The 18165-nt window shown below is 44.6% G+C and overlaps 1 non-coding gene and 2 pseudogenes across 2 annotated transcripts in view, besides 1 other annotated feature; 2 read left to right on the top strand and 1 right to left on the bottom strand.

Annotated features, from left to right (window-relative positions):
* CCDC162P (coiled-coil domain containing 162, pseudogene) overlaps positions 1-18165 on the bottom strand; it is a 189118-nt pseudogene that overhangs the window by 53472 nt on the left and 117481 nt on the right. Inside the window, exons 25-29 of the transcript NR_152435.1 lie at positions 15452-15501; positions 14959-15135; positions 7019-7136; positions 5785-5950; positions 1108-1246 (exon numbers count right to left, since the gene is read on the bottom strand). The product of NR_152435.1 is annotated as a coiled-coil domain containing 162, pseudogene (transcript). The remainder of the gene's footprint in view (positions 1-1107; positions 1247-5784; positions 5951-7018; positions 7137-14958; positions 15136-15451; positions 15502-18165) is intronic.
* Positions 9236-10435: an enhancer, noted in NCBI's record as "BRD4-independent group 4 enhancer chr6:109612245-109613444 (GRCh37/hg19 assembly coordinates)". NCBI's record gives its function as "activates an origin of replication core promoter dependent on BRD2, P300/CBP, MED14 and CDK7 cofactors, and independent of BRD4, by STARR-seq in HCT116 cells {active_cell/tissue: HCT116}" and the evidence as "EXISTENCE:reporter gene assay evidence [ECO:0000049][PMID:35650434]".
* Positions 10119-10222, top strand: LOC124901530 (small nucleolar RNA U13). The gene has a single exon (XR_007059961.1). It is a non-coding gene; the product is annotated as a small nucleolar RNA U13 (small nucleolar RNA).
* PTCHD3P3 (patched domain containing 3 pseudogene 3) lies at positions 10956-11773 on the top strand (annotated as a pseudogene).

The raw sequence follows: 18165 nt of genomic DNA, 5'->3' as shown, positions 1-18165 counted from the left end.
TTCCTGGAAGCAGAGTGGTTCCCCTGGGAGAGCAGTACCAAACAGAATCCTTCATAGCTAAAATCCAAAAAGGACTTTTCTTCACCAGTATGTAAAATCCTTGCAAATTCTGACCTTGGGCTTTCAGAGCCCAGAGGACTAACAAATGGCCATCCTGATAATTGTCTGAGGCTTTACATCTTACCTGCTTGACTAAGCTACAGCTCAGGAAGCTATTTGTCAATATAAAGACAACAAATTAGCCTGATTTTTGTCCTGCTGAATTTACATTCTAAATCCAAGAGTCCTCTGATGTCAGAGTAAAGAAGATTGAGAGTAGAAAAAGAACAAGACAGTTCAGTGCAACCCCCACCTTGTCATTCTCCATGGATGCCCACAAGTGCAGTGGAAAGCAGCTGCAACCTACAGGTAAGAGCACAGACAGCCCTCTGAGGCCCTCTCAGTGGCTAAATACTCACACCGGGAGCTAACCCAAAAAAGTTAATTTTGACAATTAAAAAATAAGCAGAGACCTTTAGGGCTAACCCTCCTTCCCTCTCATACAAAACTTATTTATACTGGAAACATTATGAAACTTAATCCAAGCTAATTTTCCCATCAGCATCATGATTAATTAACCAATTGAAACATTCCTTTTGTATGTGGAGTACTTAACACAATAGTACCTACAAGGCTAGAGGTAGATGGATTTATTTATAAATTTAACGCTGGTAGCCAATTCCATTAGCTTGAGAGGGGCAGTAAAAATTCTGTCTCTTTGAAAGGTAAACAAATGTTGAAAAAAAAAAACCTAATCATCTTTAGAAGTACAAAAATGTTATTCCCAGTAGAACCCCCTGTACACTGAAAGCAGCAATCATTATATGAACTGTTCTGAAATTACATTTGCTAAAATCAAGAGTGTTATTAGCCAACAAGAACATATTCTCACAGACAGGCTTTGCGGCAGGTCATGTTTGGTAGCCATGGCGTTCTGGATCTGCTTGTGCCCATGACTATTTTAAGCTCATTATCTAACCTTGCCAAGAGTGGCCTCCCTATATGGTCACTCAGCAAACACCTCCGCTGCAGAATTTACTAGAACAGGATTAGTGCTCCAGCCCTTACCGGATGAGATGCCTTACTGCAGCGTCAAACTGCAAAAATATAACCTCCCTCCGGAGGAGGAGTGCCTGGGCCACCCGGATAGGGTCTTGGGGGCTCTGGAGGCTGTCAATCATGTTCTGCAGCTCTTGAAGCTCAGACCCTAGAAGATGGACAACATTTTAGTCTGACAGTGTGAAATATAGGCTACTATAGCTAAACCAGTAAACCAACATTTTGTCCCATACTTGTCACCTAATCAGACTTCCCTTGTTTTGTTTGTGGGTATACTAATTATATGTTTTGCAAGACCAGCAAAGCCTTATGCTGTAGAATCAAAGGTCTGATTTATGTCTCCTTCCTTCCTCAGGAAGATAAAAATTTGCTTGGCTTTTCAGTACAATAAGAGCAGGCCATGGAAAGAAAGTTTTAAAATTTATAAGGCCATGGTCTTGAAATAGAACAAAAAGGAGAAGTGACAGGAATAGGAAAGTCTAGTCCTTAGTATATCTGTTAGGCACTTGAAACCATCAAAGATTATGAATCAGCACTCATCTCTCATTGCCATGCTATATCCAAATCAGCACTCCCTGTCACTGGCTCATGGATTAAAGAAGACTCAAGACCATCCAAAGCAAGTAAAAAACACATGTGCATATGTGTATATATAAAGATATGCACACATATGTATACATACACATGCATATACATATGCATACATATCCCTCTAGGAGATTCTAGTCATTTTAGGAGTAAATGTGAGGGATCCATATTTGCCTTATTTCTTAGACCCTTACTGCAAGAGTAGGCTACATATACATAGATTTGTATTCATTTTGGGTAAAAATCTAACTTAGGGGCCTGTGGGTCACTCAGTGCTGGGATGTGGAACCCAGCCTGAGTCTGGATGACCATCCTAGCATCTAAGTATGTATATCCTAGTTACTGGCATAGAGAAGGAGCTAGTCAGAACAGGATAGCACAGTGGAAAGTGATGAGCCCTTGGGGAACATGGCTGGGCTCACACTTACAGGGCTACCAGAATGTCAGCTGGTCTGAAATATCCCTGTGAACATAGTGATCGTTTTCTACCCTGAGAGGACATCCCTGTTATTAGGATTGTGAAAACTGATCACAATGCCTCGACGTGCAGTCCAAGGCAGGAGTGAGACAGGAAGCCCACAGGGCATTTCTGGAGATGCTCTATCTTGACAGCTGGTCCACATGCAAGCAGCCTTCTTTCCTCCCTAGCCAAGTACTGGGCTCCAGCATCTACCGACTAAGAAAGCAGAAAGCAGAGAGTTGTGGGAGGGGGAAGCTGTCCATGAGAGCCTGATCAGGCAGATCCAGGGCTGAGAACGGTTGCTAACATGTATAACATGTGCTCTTGGCTTTAAGAACAGATGAGCAGATCAGATTTCATATCCATTTGCTGTTTTATACAATAAAAAATGTGTTTTATTTTTGTTTCCAGCCCCAAATAATAGAGTCCAATCAGCAAACTCTTTTATGACTCCTCTAAATCTGATAGTTCTATTGGACTGAAGAGTTCACCAGAAAAAGAGTCATATTAGAGTGAATTGTGCAAGAACTTTTGTGGTGGTGGGAAGGAGGAGAGGTGGTCAGGGAGCCTCATTTGTTCAAGGCCTAGTGTGTTCGGTCTAAAAGTAATATACTCTATCAGGCTATGCAGTAACCAGGGGAAATTTTTCTAATCCTCTGCAACGACAATGAAAAAAGGAGAATATAAAATTACACATACCTTATGGTTAAAGCTGGGTAAAATGTAAATATGGAATATATTTGGGCATGGGCTAGAAGGGAGTAAAGATAAATAAAATTATTTCACTTGTTAGAGTGGCTGGCTTACAGGTGATTTTTTTTTCTGTCATTTCCATCATTTATATACTACTGGCAGGTGATCGCTTCCCAGCAAAATTGTTGTATGTTGATATGTAGTATTATCATTAAAATACAGATGTGGAGGCAGGACTGCCTTTCCTTTGTTATTTTACTGATCTTTAAATCCTCATTCTGACTTTCCTTCCTTTGTGGAGTCAAGAGGCTTGGTGGGAGGGGAGGTGGCAGGACAAGCAGCCTGGCGGTGGGGACAGGGCAGAGGGTTGTTGCAGGCAGCGATGGTGGTGAGGCTAGGGTGAACCCTGTGCCAGGAAACATTGGGAAAGGAGCCTTTGCTCATGTCTTTCCCAAGAGGGTCCTGTTTGGGAAGTCAGAGAAGACAGACAGCCAGGCAGCCAGAGAGAGAGGGAGAGAGAGAGGAGTCACAGTGGCCCTGTCTCTGCATGAAGACTCAGAGCTCGTACACTTCATTCCTCGTTTGTCTAGAGAGTTCCTGAAACCCTAAGTTCAGTGTGAAGTATTTGGGCTTTAATTGGCCTCCTTATCCTTTGCAAAGGAAGTCACAGTGTAAACGTCCACATTCTGATTACATCCTCTGCTTCACGTGGACTTCAAAGGGAGTTACTGGCTTTCAGGGAAGGAGAGAATTGGCTGTATCCACAGAGCTGGTCCACAGTGTCTAAGAGCTGTTTTCGTCAGTCAAGGGGAGGACCAAAAGCTGAAATCTTGAGTTTCCCTCAAGATTTGTTTTAAAAATACTTTAAAGCATACAAATCCACAAAAGTAATTTGAACTAACTAAAAATTAGAACTAACAATTTAGAACGAACTCTAAATTGTTCTGAGATGGCTTAAAGAAACAGACTCTCATTTCATCTTTTCCCTTAGTTCTTCTTGCCTCCTCTGGGAAACAGGCCAGGAACTAAGCAGCCTAGTCTTTTTAAAAAGATTATCTTGGAGGGGATATATATTTTTTTAAGTTTGCTCTTTATTTTGAGCAAAGCAGAGCATGCAAAACTGTACATTTTCCCTGGAGCACAAATGTGTAACATGACAATGTGGGCCTCTCTGCATGCTTCAGAAAGCCTGGGCCCCACATATCTCAATGGTTTCTGGGTTCACAATGCAGAAATGGCAAGAAAACAATTCCCTTCTTCCTGAATTCTAGGTCCTCAACTTGGCCTCATTTCCCATTGTTCCTCAGAGCCATACTCATGGTTCGTTCACAGGTAGGTTCACTACTCTGGACTGGCCACGTGCAGTTCTGCCTGCTGCTTTCGCCAGTGTCCTTTTCTTATGTTGCTAGGACTGTCCCTCCTATTTTCTACACTGATCCAAGTCCACTCCTGTCCAGTCTGGGAAGCACCCCAGATCACCTCCCTGCAGATTTTGCCTGGGGGCGCCCTTTACTCCCAGCTGCTGTAGGACTTCCTAAGTAGTGACTTCACCAGGAAACATGGCTCTGGCTCTCTCGGTTCTATCTCATCTCCATGTAACACCTGCCTCCCCATCTCAACGGCAGGCAGGACATTTCTCTTGGCCACACTCCTTCTTCCTGTGCGTTAGCTAAAGCTCAGCCCCCACACCCTCCTGACATCCAACAGCTCTCCGAAGAGTGTCTTAGCTTATTTTCTGAGTAAGCCCCATTTACAACAGTCCCCAAACTAGTAAAAGGAAAGGACCTAAGAGTGCTTTGGAGCTTCTTTAATCGGATGCTTATGTTGAAGACTTGTGAGTCACTCTGAGAGCTCATTAGCCTGCAACAATTCTGTGCCTTCTGCTGAGGCGGCACCACTACCATTCTCCCTTCATCCTGCCACTCCTAGACACAGGCATTATCCTCCTCCCAGATCAGCACTCATGCCCTTCCCTATGTCTACATCTAAATGTTTACAGAGCCCTTCAGTGTTCCTTAGCACAATGCAAATATACCTGCCACCAGCTCCAAGGTCTCCCACAAATGTATTTCCTTTATGCACCAACCAGCCACAGGGGAATATCCTCAGATTCTCTGACATTTGTTTTAAGAGCAATTAGGTTTAAATAGGCATATTGCCTCATTTCGTAGGCTCTTCTTCTTTAAAATCCCTGGCTACTATAGTATTTTGCTATTAATTTATATTTACATGACCAGTGACATTATTTGGATGGTAGTCACATTATTAAGGCAAGATTACTTTCCCTGATTCTGATAAATGTAGCTTAGTAAACATTTTAGTGTCTTTAATTCACCTCATGTGTTTATCTTATAATATAACCTGTGCTGATGAGCACTGGGCGTATAAAACTACAGCCTCAATCATTCTTACCACAAAGACTTTTAGGTCATTGATAGCTAACCAAGGGCTGTTTACAAGCTTCTTAATAGGGAGTGATTGGCTCTGACCTTGCCATGTGAGTTTATGAAGGCCAGGAAGGAAACGGGAACGAAAGAAAACTAATATTTAATGGGGGCTTATATATCCTAGAATTTTTACATAAATTTCAATCCACAGAACATTTTTATGAGACAGATACTATCACCCCATTTTATAGATGGACAAGCAGAGACCCAGAGAGTAAAGTACCCAGCTTTCAGTAACCAAGTGGCAGAGGCAGAGTAAGAACCAGGCCTCCAGACTCCCAACTTGGTGCACTTTGGGGTATAGCCCGTGAATGTGGAATCAAACAGATAGCTGTGCAGTGTGGAGACAGTCTATAAGACAGTTTGGACTTTTCCTTTGCCCTTCTGATTGCTGTCATTTATGAGAGTATATTGTAGTTCTGTCTTTCCAAGTATTAAGAGCTTCATAGAACTTCCAGTGAATATTGAAGGTGATTTGAATCACCTTTAATCACTCACCAATGCCCTCAGTTCCTCCCCAGTCACCTCTCAAAGGGTTGGGACTTCGAGGAAATTCAAAACATGCTGGACAATTGCCAAGCTTAGCAAAACTGACAAGGTAGGCCACGATATCATGCAGAGGAGCTATCAGTTGTAGAGTTCGCTTTAAGGCTTTAAAAGCTGCCTGTGGATAAAATTAATACAAGGAAATACGTTTTAGGAAGTTTCTAAGAGGCATATAAAAATATATGAACACTGAATGGGGATGATATCTTTAAACAAGAATATTTCCATAAACATTGTCACAGTATATACAGGATAATATCAGAAAAAGAACAATAAACCTATTGATGAACCAAGGTTACATGCCCTTGGACAAGGGAACCCCTGTGGGGGGTTAAAGCAATGTGTTTCTTTGTTTAAAGTCACTGAAGGCCATGAACACATCAAAATGTTTGTATGGCCGTCAATGAATTACAAGGGTCACAAATCAATTCATAGAAGGGACTCATATTCAGACAACAATCTTGAGAGAATACCTGTAAGCAAGGTATAGATATTTATCAACATTGTTTAAACCAACACATGACTGAAAATCAAACCATGGATCTTATGTATCAATGTCCAAGTGGAGGAAAAGTGAAAAATTATGATCTAACTGCAGAAGGTAGTATTTCCATATTTTAAAAATAAAAGTCTGAAACTTCTTCAATGAAAGTAGGGGTAAGAAACCAAGGTTGCTAAACAAGATTTCACTTACAAAGAAAAATCAGAATATTCCCAAATGCCATTTTCAACATTGTATTTTATTTCTTTAGCAAATACTTATGTTTTATGTGTTTCTGTGTTTTCTTTTTTAAAAAAATTGTTACCAACATTGCCCTTAATCAGTAAGTGAGTTACACAGAGCACCCCTCAGAAAACAGTAACCCTAAGTTACAAGTGTGATCTCAACCTCTCATTAACTTCAGAGCACCAGTGGGGTTTTTTGGAAGGGTTGGAAAGAAATTGAAGATTAATAAGAAATGTCAGAGGCTTGAACTAATGTTCATTAGTGACCAGGGAGAAAGAGAAATCAAAGCATAGTGAGGCCCAAGACAAATTATAATAAAGCAGAAAAGGCTGCTGTGAAAAGATTTCAGTAGTTAGATGTCTGAATAAAAGAAGGGATGTTCTCTGGAATTGATACGTTTAACTGTGAGACAAAAACCAGCCAGTTTCCATTCTGGCACACATGCAAAAAAATACAAACCTTTTCTGGCAGAGTTTTGAACATAACCAGCACTTCAGAAGAATGGGGTATGAACCATCAATTGAGGAAGACTTTTCCATCCGCTGACAGCAAACATCGTGGCCGGGGCTGAAATCTTCTGCAAGTGTTAGAAAAAAGGACCCATAGCACGCATTGCCCTCTAAACAAGAGGCATCATGAATGACCCTGTTGAATCACCACCCTCCGTCACACAGGCCTGTCACCATAGGCCCAGCATCCACGCCCCAGGGCAGCAGCCCTTTTCATGCCACTCCCAGGTGGCCAGTTTATAAATAACTCAACAGGAAGAAGAGCAGTTAGGCTGATTTTAGCCAGAGCTGTGTGGGGGAAGGAGTGGGGATGGAGGGAGGGAAAAGGCATGGTAAGAAAGGACAGGAAGGCCATGAATTAGATGGCCAGCACCACACTAGGTGGTACATATATTATGTCACTTAATTCACCTGGCAACCTCAGGATGGATCTATTTTTGTTCCTCTTTCACAACTGAGGAAATTGATGCCCTGAGAGGTTATGGAGATCTACCCAGCTCCGAAAAGACAAAGTTAGAATTCAAATGAATATCTCTTTGGGAGGCTGAGGTGGGTGGATCACGAGGTCAGGAGATCGAGACCATCCTAGCTAACACGGTGAAACTCCATCTCTACTAAAAATACAAAAAATTAACCGGACTCGGTGGCAGGCGCATGTAGTCCCAGCGACTCAGGAGGCTGAGGCAGGAGAATGGCGTGAACCTGGAAGGCAGAGCTTGCAGTGAGCGGAGATCGCACCACTGCACTCCAGCCTGGGTGACAGAGCAGGACTCTGTATCAAAACAAAACAAAACAAACAAACAAAAAAGAATTCAAATGCACATCTATCTGTCCCACTGTAGAATCTGGGCTCCAGAACCAGGCTCTGCTTCCTCTTGCCTTGACATCACATTTGTTGCCAGGTTCTCCAGCTTCTGGTCTTCTTTTCCTTCTTTCTTCTCCTCTAAATACCATATTATTTCTTAATAAGGTTAGTCATCTCTTCGTTTAGTCATCTCTTTGTTGCAGGTTTATATACAAATATATTGTCCATATATGTCTGGTTTAAGGATTCAAACAAGCCCAGGTAGGTACACACCACCTGGCCTGAGAAAAGGAATGTTGCCAGCACCCTTGAAGCCTGATGTGCACTTCCCTGGTGGCCCCCAGATGAACCACCATCCTGATGATTAATTTTAAATAATTAAATTTGATTAAATTATTTATTTAATTTATTTATTTATATTTAATTAATTTATTTAATTTAAATAATTAAAATTGATTAATTTTACATTTATCAATGCCTTGTTTTTTTTGGTGGAAAATCCTTGGTGCATCCGTGCTGCTGCAAATGACTGATTTGTGGGTTATTAGGTTGATTCTATATCTTGGTTGTTGTGAATAGTGCTACAATAAACATAAGTCTCAGGATTTTAATCAGTTAATTCTAAACTCAGGAATAAAGTATGGTCTTAGTTTGGAGAATTGCCTTTCTTTTAGCAACCACAAAGTCAAACAATTCCTGTCCTGAAACAGATCAAAACCAGCGTAATCCAGTCTCATCTCTATTATTCAGTTCACCATGCTCATTCCTGCCCAGAGGTAACAATGAATATCAAAACTAAAAAGTTGCAGGGTCTGCATCCAGGCACATGGGACTGCAATCCACATGCTGGCAGGTGCTGCTAGCAGCAAGGACTGAACCAGTCCTTCCTTGGCCTCTGAGAAGCACATGTGTCCCTGGAGCCACTGGGCTGTCTACCAAGTGCTATCCTTTACTTCTTATCTGTTATTTCCTGCCATTTCCAGTCCTGCCTGCAGTGAGCAGCCGTCGGCTGAGAAGAGCAGAGATGACTGCAGAAAGCTTTAGGTGCTCAGTACATGAAGCATAGCCTGGTTCTCAGCCCCACAAGCAGACTTGCCCCTGCCCCTTGTGGATGGCCTGCCAATTATCTGGCCTGGCAGTTCCCCAACCTGCTCAACACTGTCCCCTTTCATTCCCCTTCAGCTGACCACTTCTGGGCCACACCCAAGACTTTATTATCCTCTGAAACCATATCACCTCCAAAGTCTTAACTTTCCCAGCTCCATATTTTATTCCTCCAGTTTTCTGAGTCATCCACTCTCACTAAACTTCCCTTCCTTTATTCCCCCAAAATAGGTCCCTTGACATCATCCAGTCCTCTGGTCTCCCCTTCCATCTGTCAGCTCCTTTCTGACCTCACTCCCTTCCCTACCCAGACTGGATCTCACAGTCAAGCATGCGAACCACTCTCTCCCCAGCACCTTCAATTCTCTGCTGCTTTGTACTCACAACCCACCTACCTATCAAAGCCCCAGTTCTGGGTCCCTCCAACCACTCAGCTTGCTGTTTCTGATGTCATGCTGCTAAGCACAGCTGGAGGAAATCACACTGCTAATTATACTGATGGAAATGGTTTCCAGCCTGAGGTATGTCACCCTGGAACAATCCTTTTCCTTTCCTTTGATCAGCTCTCGTGCCCATCTTCTTGTTTCATAATTCCAAGCCTTCTTTAAGGCCCCCATACCAAATTCCTGCCAGCAGATGATGACATGGTCTGCTATTTCATGATCAAATTAAAGGCCACTGCTGGAACTCCCTCCCTTTCCTGATGGCCTATTTCCCCAACCCCCACCCCTAATACACACATACCCTCCCTTTCAACCAGGGTCAAAGTCAGAGGTGCACACCTTGGATACAAAATGAAGACAGCCTCTCCCCTCCATGCTCCTACCTTCCAGAGGCAGCTGGGAACCATGACACTGTGGTAGCAGCATGGCTAATGGAAGCCTATGACAGTGCAGAGGACGCCCAACAAGAAGCACCTGAGCCTTGTTGGGAGGCTGGTGGAAGAAATTCACAGCTGAGGCTTCTGAGCTGTGATTTCTCATCTCCCTCCATATCCCTTTGTCCCAATGACATTGCCATCTTTTCCCCTCCATTAAGAAATTGTGGTAAAATATGCATAACACAAAATTTACCGTTTTAGCCTGTTTTTGTTTTTGTTTTTTTCAGAGCAGGAGTGGAAGTTTATTTAAAAGGCTTGAGGATTCTTTTGTAGTTCATGAGCCTGATGATTGGGTGTTCACACGTGTGTGTGAGATGTGCTATTCTCGAACCTTGTTACAACGTCGTCGCATTACCTGTCTGACCTCAAACTGCTACTGGGTGGACTGCAAGAAAGGTAAAATCTGTTACTCACGACACGTGGAATTTCTGTGCCGTTTATGTGTTGTGGGGAGAAACACTCAAATTCTCCCAATACATTGCGAGTCCCACAGAACAGGCACGCATTTGATGGCCTTGAAGAAGTGTTCGTTGTATTTGCTGAACCTCCTGAGAGGCCAAGCATGCCACCAACACATTTCAGATTAGTTAAGCGACAGGGCCAACCACGTGCTCCCCACGCCGCCTCTGCTCCAGGCGCGCTCACACAGGCTCCCCTAGAATTTCTCCAGGAAGCCGTTGGATAGGGCAGAGGTGGCAGCTCCGCCAGCAGCTGCTTCTTCACCGGCTGTGTCGAGTGAGAACGCCGCCTGTGCTTCCCGGAAATGGGCTTCAGCTCCTCTAAGGTCGTGGCGCAGCTGGACCCCAAGACTGAGTCGCCGTCCAGGAAGCGTGACTGGGCAACGGGGCCTGGGTCTGGCCGGGGTCTGGCCGGGGTCAGAGCTGAAACCGGAGTCCGAGTCAGAGGGGAAGCCGGGGCCGGGGCCAGGCTCCAAGAGGCCGCAGGGGTCCCAGACAGAGCTTAGCTCGACGTCACAAGGTTCGGGGCCGGGGAGGTCCCGGAGTGGGATCAGGAACTGGAATCGCTGCCGGGCGGGGCTTCAGGGCAGCCCTCGGAGCGGCGGCCGTCGCTGGGGCAGGGGCAGGGGCCACAGCCATCCCCGGCGTTGGAGGGGGACAACGCACCCCTGCCAGAGGTGGAAACCCCGGAGACCCCGTCTGCTGGCGCCACTGCCACACCGACTGCCTGGAGGCGCCGCTCTTCTTCCAGTGGCCGAGGTGGCAGGTGGACGCGCACCCCTGGATCTTCCTGCTGGCGCCCATGATGCTGACGGCCGTGCTGGGCGCCGGCTTCCTTCACCTTCCCAAGGACGAAGAGGAAGATCTGCAGGAGCAGTGCATCCCGGTGGGGAGCCCGGCCAAGGCGGAGAGACGCTTTGTGCAGGGCTATTTCACCACCAACGATTCCTACCGCCTCTCCACCTCCAGGAGGTGCACTCAGGCCAATTTCACCTGGATTCTGGTGGGCTCCCACAGCAACCCACTGCTGGAACCGGACATCTTTGCAAAGTCAGTAAATTGGACAGCACGGTGCAGGATCTACGTGTGGCACAGGGAAACGGAAGCCAGATCCAGTACGAGCAGGTGTGCGTGAGGTACAAGAGGCTCTGTGTGTCCTCCAACCCGTTCCTGGATGTCTGGCAAGTGGACAAAACGTTCGACCTGAGCTACAACCACAGTGAGCATCCCTCTGTCTGATCGGCTTCTTTGGAGGACACATCTTGGGATGTAACTGGCCTAGGTAATGGGCCAGTTCCTCCTGCAGTCCAAAGCCATGTGGCTGCTGAACTGCCTGAAGAGCACCCTGAGGACAACGTGCAGAGCAAGATGGCTCACCCATTCCCTCAACCAATTTAGCAACATTAAGAACAGTCTGGCCTTGAAGAAAATCGAGGTACCTGGTAGTTCAGGTTTACAGGGAGGTCAGGAGGATGTGGGAGGGATGAGGAAGACTTGCTCCGAGAACCCTAACAAAAGCACTGCATGACTACTTGATGGGGTCCTTGCCTCACAGCTGGGTTTGCTCTACTGTATTTGGTACTTAATCTGACTTTCTTTCTTTTTTTTTTTTTTTTTAAGGCGAGTCTCGCTGTGTCACCCAGGCTGCAGTGCAGTGGCACGATCTCGGCTCACTGCAACCTCCGCCACCCAGGTTCAAGCGATTCTCCTGCCTCAGCCTCCCGAGTAGCTGGGATTACAGGTGCCTGCAACCATGCCCAGCTAATTTTTGCATTTTTAGTAGAGACAGGGTTTCATCATGTTGGGCAGGCTGGTCTTGAACTCCTGACCTCAGGTGATCCACCTGCCTTGGCTTCCCAACGTGTTGAGATTACAGGCATGAGCCACCGCGCCTGGCCAATCCAACTTTCTTAAATTAACAATGTTGGGGCCGGGCATGGTGGCTCACACCTGTCCCAGCACTTTGGGAGGCTGAGGCAGGTGGATCATCTGAAGTCAGGAGTTCGAGACCAGCCTGGCTAACATGGTGAAACCCTGTTTCTACTAAAAATTAAAAAAAAATGAGCCAGGCATGGTGATGCACACCTATAATCTCAGCTATTCCGGAGGCTGAGGCAGAAGAATTGCTTGAACCCAGGAGGTAGAGGTTGCAGTGAGCCAAGATCGTGCCATCATACTCCAGCTTGGGCAACAAGAGCGAATCTCCGTCTCAAAATAAATAAATGAGTAAGTAAATAAATAAATAAATGAAACCGATGGATGCCAGAAATCGTGAATCCTTGGTAACATTCAGGTCGATAACACAAATTTTGTGTCCAGCATATGAGGCTGTTCAGTACAGACATTGATGTTCATGTTTGATGTGGGGGGTTGGTTGCTAACTAAATTACAGTACTTTGAAATTCTACTTTTAGTTGAAGTTTTCGTTGGTTTTGGGAAGTCCCCAAAACTTGCTTGGAGCTCACTGAGTATATTTTTTGTGGCAGGTGGTCCACTTTACATTGCTTTCCAGGCAGCTGGAATTTGAGGCAACTTCTATGACAGTGATCCCTTTGTTTCACCTGGCATACGTTCTAATCATACTGTTTGCTAATCATATTATTGTTGCTGCAAGTTCTGGATTGAAAGTATCATCTGTGAGCCTCAAGAGGAGGCTGAACTGGCCCACCCCACTCTCGCCGATGATGAGGATCTTCAGGGTGGTCAGCACGTCCTCGTCTATCCTGACCCTGCTTGGCTCCGAGCTCAGCTGGCCACCCCAGGGCCCACCTCTCAGCCATTTTAGCCATTTCTAAGTGTATAGTTCCGTGGAACTGAGTACATTCACAGGGTTGTGCAACTATCGCTACCATCCATCTCCAGGACTTTTTTCATCTTCCAAAACTGAAAGTCTGTGTCCATTAAACAATAATGGCACTGCTATCTTTTCATCCACCCAAGCCAGAGATTCTGAGTGACATCCTAGATTCCTCCGTCTCCCTCAGCTTCTTATTATATCCGCCATCTGGCCTAGCTGATTTCACCTTCTAACCGTCTCTTGTCTGTACAATTTTAGTAGCTTCCTACATAATGTCACTGACAATCATCTTGCTCCACTTCTCCCAGTGACCTGAAGGACAAACACAGCCTTCTGGCTCTTTCCTCACCCTTCGATACGTTCTACTTCCCATTGCTGCCCTCACATACTCTGGATATGAGTCCCACACAAGTCCACATGCTGTCTCACACCTCTGTTCCTTTGCACATGTGATTCTCCCAGCTTGAGCTGAATTTCTTTTCCCTGTCTCCCTGGAGCACTAGTTGTCATTCAAGACCCACATTAAGCATCCCCTCTTCCCTGGAGCCTTTTTTGCTCCCCATCTCCATCAACCCAATCCTTCAGATAATACTGTTTCTTGGTGGGTGCTTTCATTAAACATTTATTTTACTTTATTCTTTATCACAGTGTACTGTAATTACCTATTTCCCATTGCTGCGGAAGGACCAGCACTTGATACCAAGGCTGCCATATACTGTTGTTCAGGTTGTACCCTGAGGCAACAAGCGATGGCCAAGATCCAACCTGTACTTCACTTGCTAGAGGCTTTTCCCTGGGATGAGACCACACCTGCCCAGAGGAAGGGGTGCTGCCTTCTAATTTGCACAAAGTAGCTGTATGGGATGACAGTGGCTCTACCTGTCACAAAGTAAGAGCTCAATTAATCTTAGCATCCTCTCTCTGTTCATCAGCAAATGCAGCTTCTCCTGGAGTGGACTGAAGTGTCATCCTAGGCCCCAGACTCCAGTCTCCTCTGGGCCATGAAGGGAATGGAAGCCTCAAGGGACTTCCTGCTTAGGAAGAGGGCTCCCCTTTGCTCCTCCTCTACCGGGACAGGGGTATCTTTGCTAAACCAAACACACTACATTACAGCCTTTGCAGAATTAAGTAGGATTATAGAATTTTACGGGCTCTTCTAGTCAAGGATGGCAAACCCATAGCATGGAAATTACCTTTCTGCCTTTCCTTGAGCATGGCAGACATTGCCAATCAATTACAATTACTCTCACAAACTTGAGATGCCTCAGAATCCTCAGCAGGGCCACTAATGCATTGTTTGAACTGACATTTAGAATAAACCTTATTTCTTATCTTCATTCTAACTCAACCCCTTATTTTATGAATGAGATGAGGACCTCTTTCCTCTATGGCCCTCATTCCTCAACTCTGTCCCTTCATCTCTAGTTAACTCTGGCTAGGGATGATTCCTATTTGCCATGTCCTGAGCAGTCTTAAAAATGGCCCCTTTCCATAAAGTATTTCTTCAGCAGTCCTATTCCTTGCAATCATGCTCTAGATAACTTAGCCCCAAGAATCATAACATGTTTAACTTCAGAGAGCTGCTTCTTCAATTTCCTCAGTCATCAGACGAAGAGATTGAAAAAGCAGTCAAACAGCCTATAAACAAAGAACCCCTTTTGGGTTCAAATACAAAGATACTCTTATTCTTGGAGTATTAACTCTTCCTTTTGCCCTTTTGGACAAGAAGATCAAGGTCAAGTGCAGTAAAGGGAGCAAAGGTTTAATATTAAACTTAACATGCCTCTCCCCAGGGAGAAGTAGGGCCAGGGAAGGAGAGTAATAAACACTGAAGCAAATTACGCACCTGGGGTCAGCCTTGAGGCCCTCCTTGGAGTCTCTCAACCCCTTCTTCTCTTGTGGTTGCCCTACCATGAAAAAGGTGTCCCTGATGGTAGGAAAATCTTCCAGAAGATCTCTCAGGCTATTGCAGTATGCCATGATCTGACCCCGAAGAGCATAGTGAGACATGCGGTGGTTAAACCTGAAAGTCAGAAGAGAGGATGTCCAGAAGGAGAATCCAAATTCTTCCACCTCTCACAGAAGCTCCAGAATCTACATCCCTGGAGGACTTTTCAAGGAGAGAGTACTTCTATCAAGAAGGAATTTCCATTTGGGTCAGGTGGCTGTTGCCTGAAGGCAGAGGCATGAACCCCTTCCTAATGACCCCTATCCTTCACTTCCGATGCTTCTCTGCATGTCAAAGCACAGTTTAACTTGGTTTTACCCAATAAAACTGCCACTTATTACATTCAGAGTCAGAGAAATCAGCGTGTGTTATTCACATATACTATACTTACTTCTGACAATATTCAACCATAACATCTCTCTTGACTTTTCCAATTTCATCCTGTGATAAAGGAGAATGATAGTTTTAGTAGACAATTGGCTATAAGAACTCCCCACCCTAGTACATGTGTACAAACTTAAAGCAGACTTCAAGCAGGAAAAGGCTACAGAGCTGAGACATTCTTTCTGGGTTAAGCTTGTTGGGAGGCACTCCTGTGTCTCTCTCCCGCTCCTACCCATCTTGCTGAGTATGCCAAGGATGCAAGTCCCTGACCACACTTTACCTCACAACCATTTCTCAGGGTTGTGTTTGCAGAAAGCAATCTTCAGTGATAAGGTAATGTCTCTCTCCAGGAAAAAGAGCAGGCTTATTATAAAAGAGGTGGGTTCCCCAAGCTCAGTGCTTTTCACTTGTGACACAAGCCACTACCTGCATGTAGGCTCCTCCACACTGTCCCCGTGGGACTGACACGAACATGAAGATCACATTGCCTACTCTGCTGTGCATAATAAAATTCTTTGTCTCTGACAAAGGAGTCTTGTGTGCCTTCTGCCAGCATCCATGGAACGGTAACAGGTTAACTTATTAGCCAGTAAGTAGTCCCCAGACCCTGACAAAATTAATACAGGTAATTATATTGCCTGAGCTCTTTCTGATCTGATAGGTGTTGAATAATCCTGAAGGGCAGTTCATGAATGATTATATTTTTTCCACTTGGTCGATATTTTTTGAGAATTGCTTATTAGAAGGGACCCTTTGCTTCTATTATGGCTGAGCAGTAATTGCTGGCCCTCGTCATATCCCATCTGTAGAACTAGATTAGGTAAATTTAAGTCTTTCCTTTAAAGTCACAAGCAGGGAAGAAAGCCTAGAATTATAAATCTTGTCATTCTTCTCCTAAATAACAATGTATTACCATAATGATTTTCTCATCAAAAAATTAATAATGAAATGATATTCACAAAATTAAGGAATAATTTTTACTGATTAAAGTTTTGAGTTTTAGTATTTTTCAATAGATTAGGCTAATATAAAAACTTTAAATACAAACATAGTGGTAGTGTCTGAAAAACCAAGATAACCAGATGGTTATCAGGTGACCAGATGGTTAAGAGCCATTGCTTACCTTGTCTAATCCCCGAACCCCTGTGGGTCACTCAAGAGTAGGCTAATGTTCCAGTGCAGGTGCTGAAACTAGTTCATTTAGAAAGTGACAAAACAAAATGCGGCATTGGGAAAATGCATACATTTTTAAAGCATGACTGTAATCCACTTGAACTGATTCCTTTCTACTTCTTATTGAACTTCCCTTTTCACTTCTTTACAATATATTTTCAACAGTCCTAGCCAAATAGGTTGAAAGCATCAGATCACCAGATTCCAAGTGAAGAATTTTCATTTGCTCAGATGCAAAAGAGGACCAGAGCTTTAGGCAGCATTTCTCACTACACACTCACAGGGCTCTTCGTTCTGTCGGCCATGGTTTGTTTCCTCAGGAGGAAGGTGTTCAGCATCATGTCCCGCAGCCCCACCTTTTCCAGTTGAATAGACACAAAGGCCTCTGGAGCCCCGACAAGTGAACAGAAACATGGGAGCCCAAGGCAGGAGGTATATGGACATGGATCAGAAAGACAAGGTGTATACTGGGCATTGCAGCAGGAGGGCAGGTGGCTGTGCCTCCATGGTTCTTGCCTGCTTCAGGTGTTTCTGATTATTCACCAGGGATGCAGATGTGTCACCATCCTGCTTGGGGACCCTCTGTGCCTGAAGCATGCTTCAGCAGTCCTTTCTCAGTTCTAAGCCCAGTATTTGTACTACCCATCTCCCTTTGCATTCTCCTCGACTTGACTCTAAGGATATCTAGATTGAAGTGGCCTCCCAAGGGTCCTCTTGACTAGACATATTGGTCTTAAATCGTCCATCCACACATTGGAAATGTGGACTTTAATGCACTTGAACTCTGGCCATATGTCAGATTAACAGCATCTTGAGTAGTAGAGTTGCTTTGCCTGTTATTATTTTTTATTCTAAATTTGCCAGAATTCAAGTACAGTGTCATTGGTAGGCCCTGATAAAATACTCAGACTAATCATACTACAGAGTATGATTTACAGAGTATTCAGACAGAGTATCATACAGAGTATTACAAAGTAATTCATACTATAGAGTATGAATGTCTCTCTTTCTCTGTCATGGTGAAAAGAGATCCAGACAGAATAGGGCATCTCTGATTTATAGACATGTCTCTGGAGAGGTCGTGCCTCTCTGACAATAATTCACCATCCTATTATTTTAAGCAATGTTAGAACCTTTGTTAGAACAGTGAGGACAGGCTGGGCGTGGTGGCTCATGCCTGTAATCACAGCCCTTTGGGAGGCTGAGGCGGGCAGATTACTTGAGGTCAGGAGTTCAAGACCAGCCTGGCCAACATGGTGAAACCCCATCTCTACTAAAAATACAAAAATTAGCCAGGTGTGATGGTGCATGCCTGTAGTCCTAGCTACCCGGGAGGCTGAGGCAGGAGAATTATTTGAACACGGGAGGCAGAGGATGCAGTGCACTGAGATCAGGCCACTGCACTCCAGCTTTCCAGCCTGGGTGACAGAGCAAGACTCCATCATAAAAAAAAAAAAAAAAAAAAAAAAAGGGCCAGGTGCGGTGGCTCACGCCTATAATCCCAGTACTTTGGGAGGCCTAGGCTGGTGGACCATGAGGTCAGGAGAT

Source organism: Homo sapiens, chromosome 6 (assembly GCF_000001405.40).
Source record: "Homo sapiens chromosome 6, GRCh38.p14 Primary Assembly".
Lineage (NCBI taxonomy): Eukaryota > Metazoa > Chordata > Mammalia > Primates > Hominidae > Homo > Homo sapiens.
This window is presented reverse-complemented; position numbering and strand designations above follow the sequence as displayed.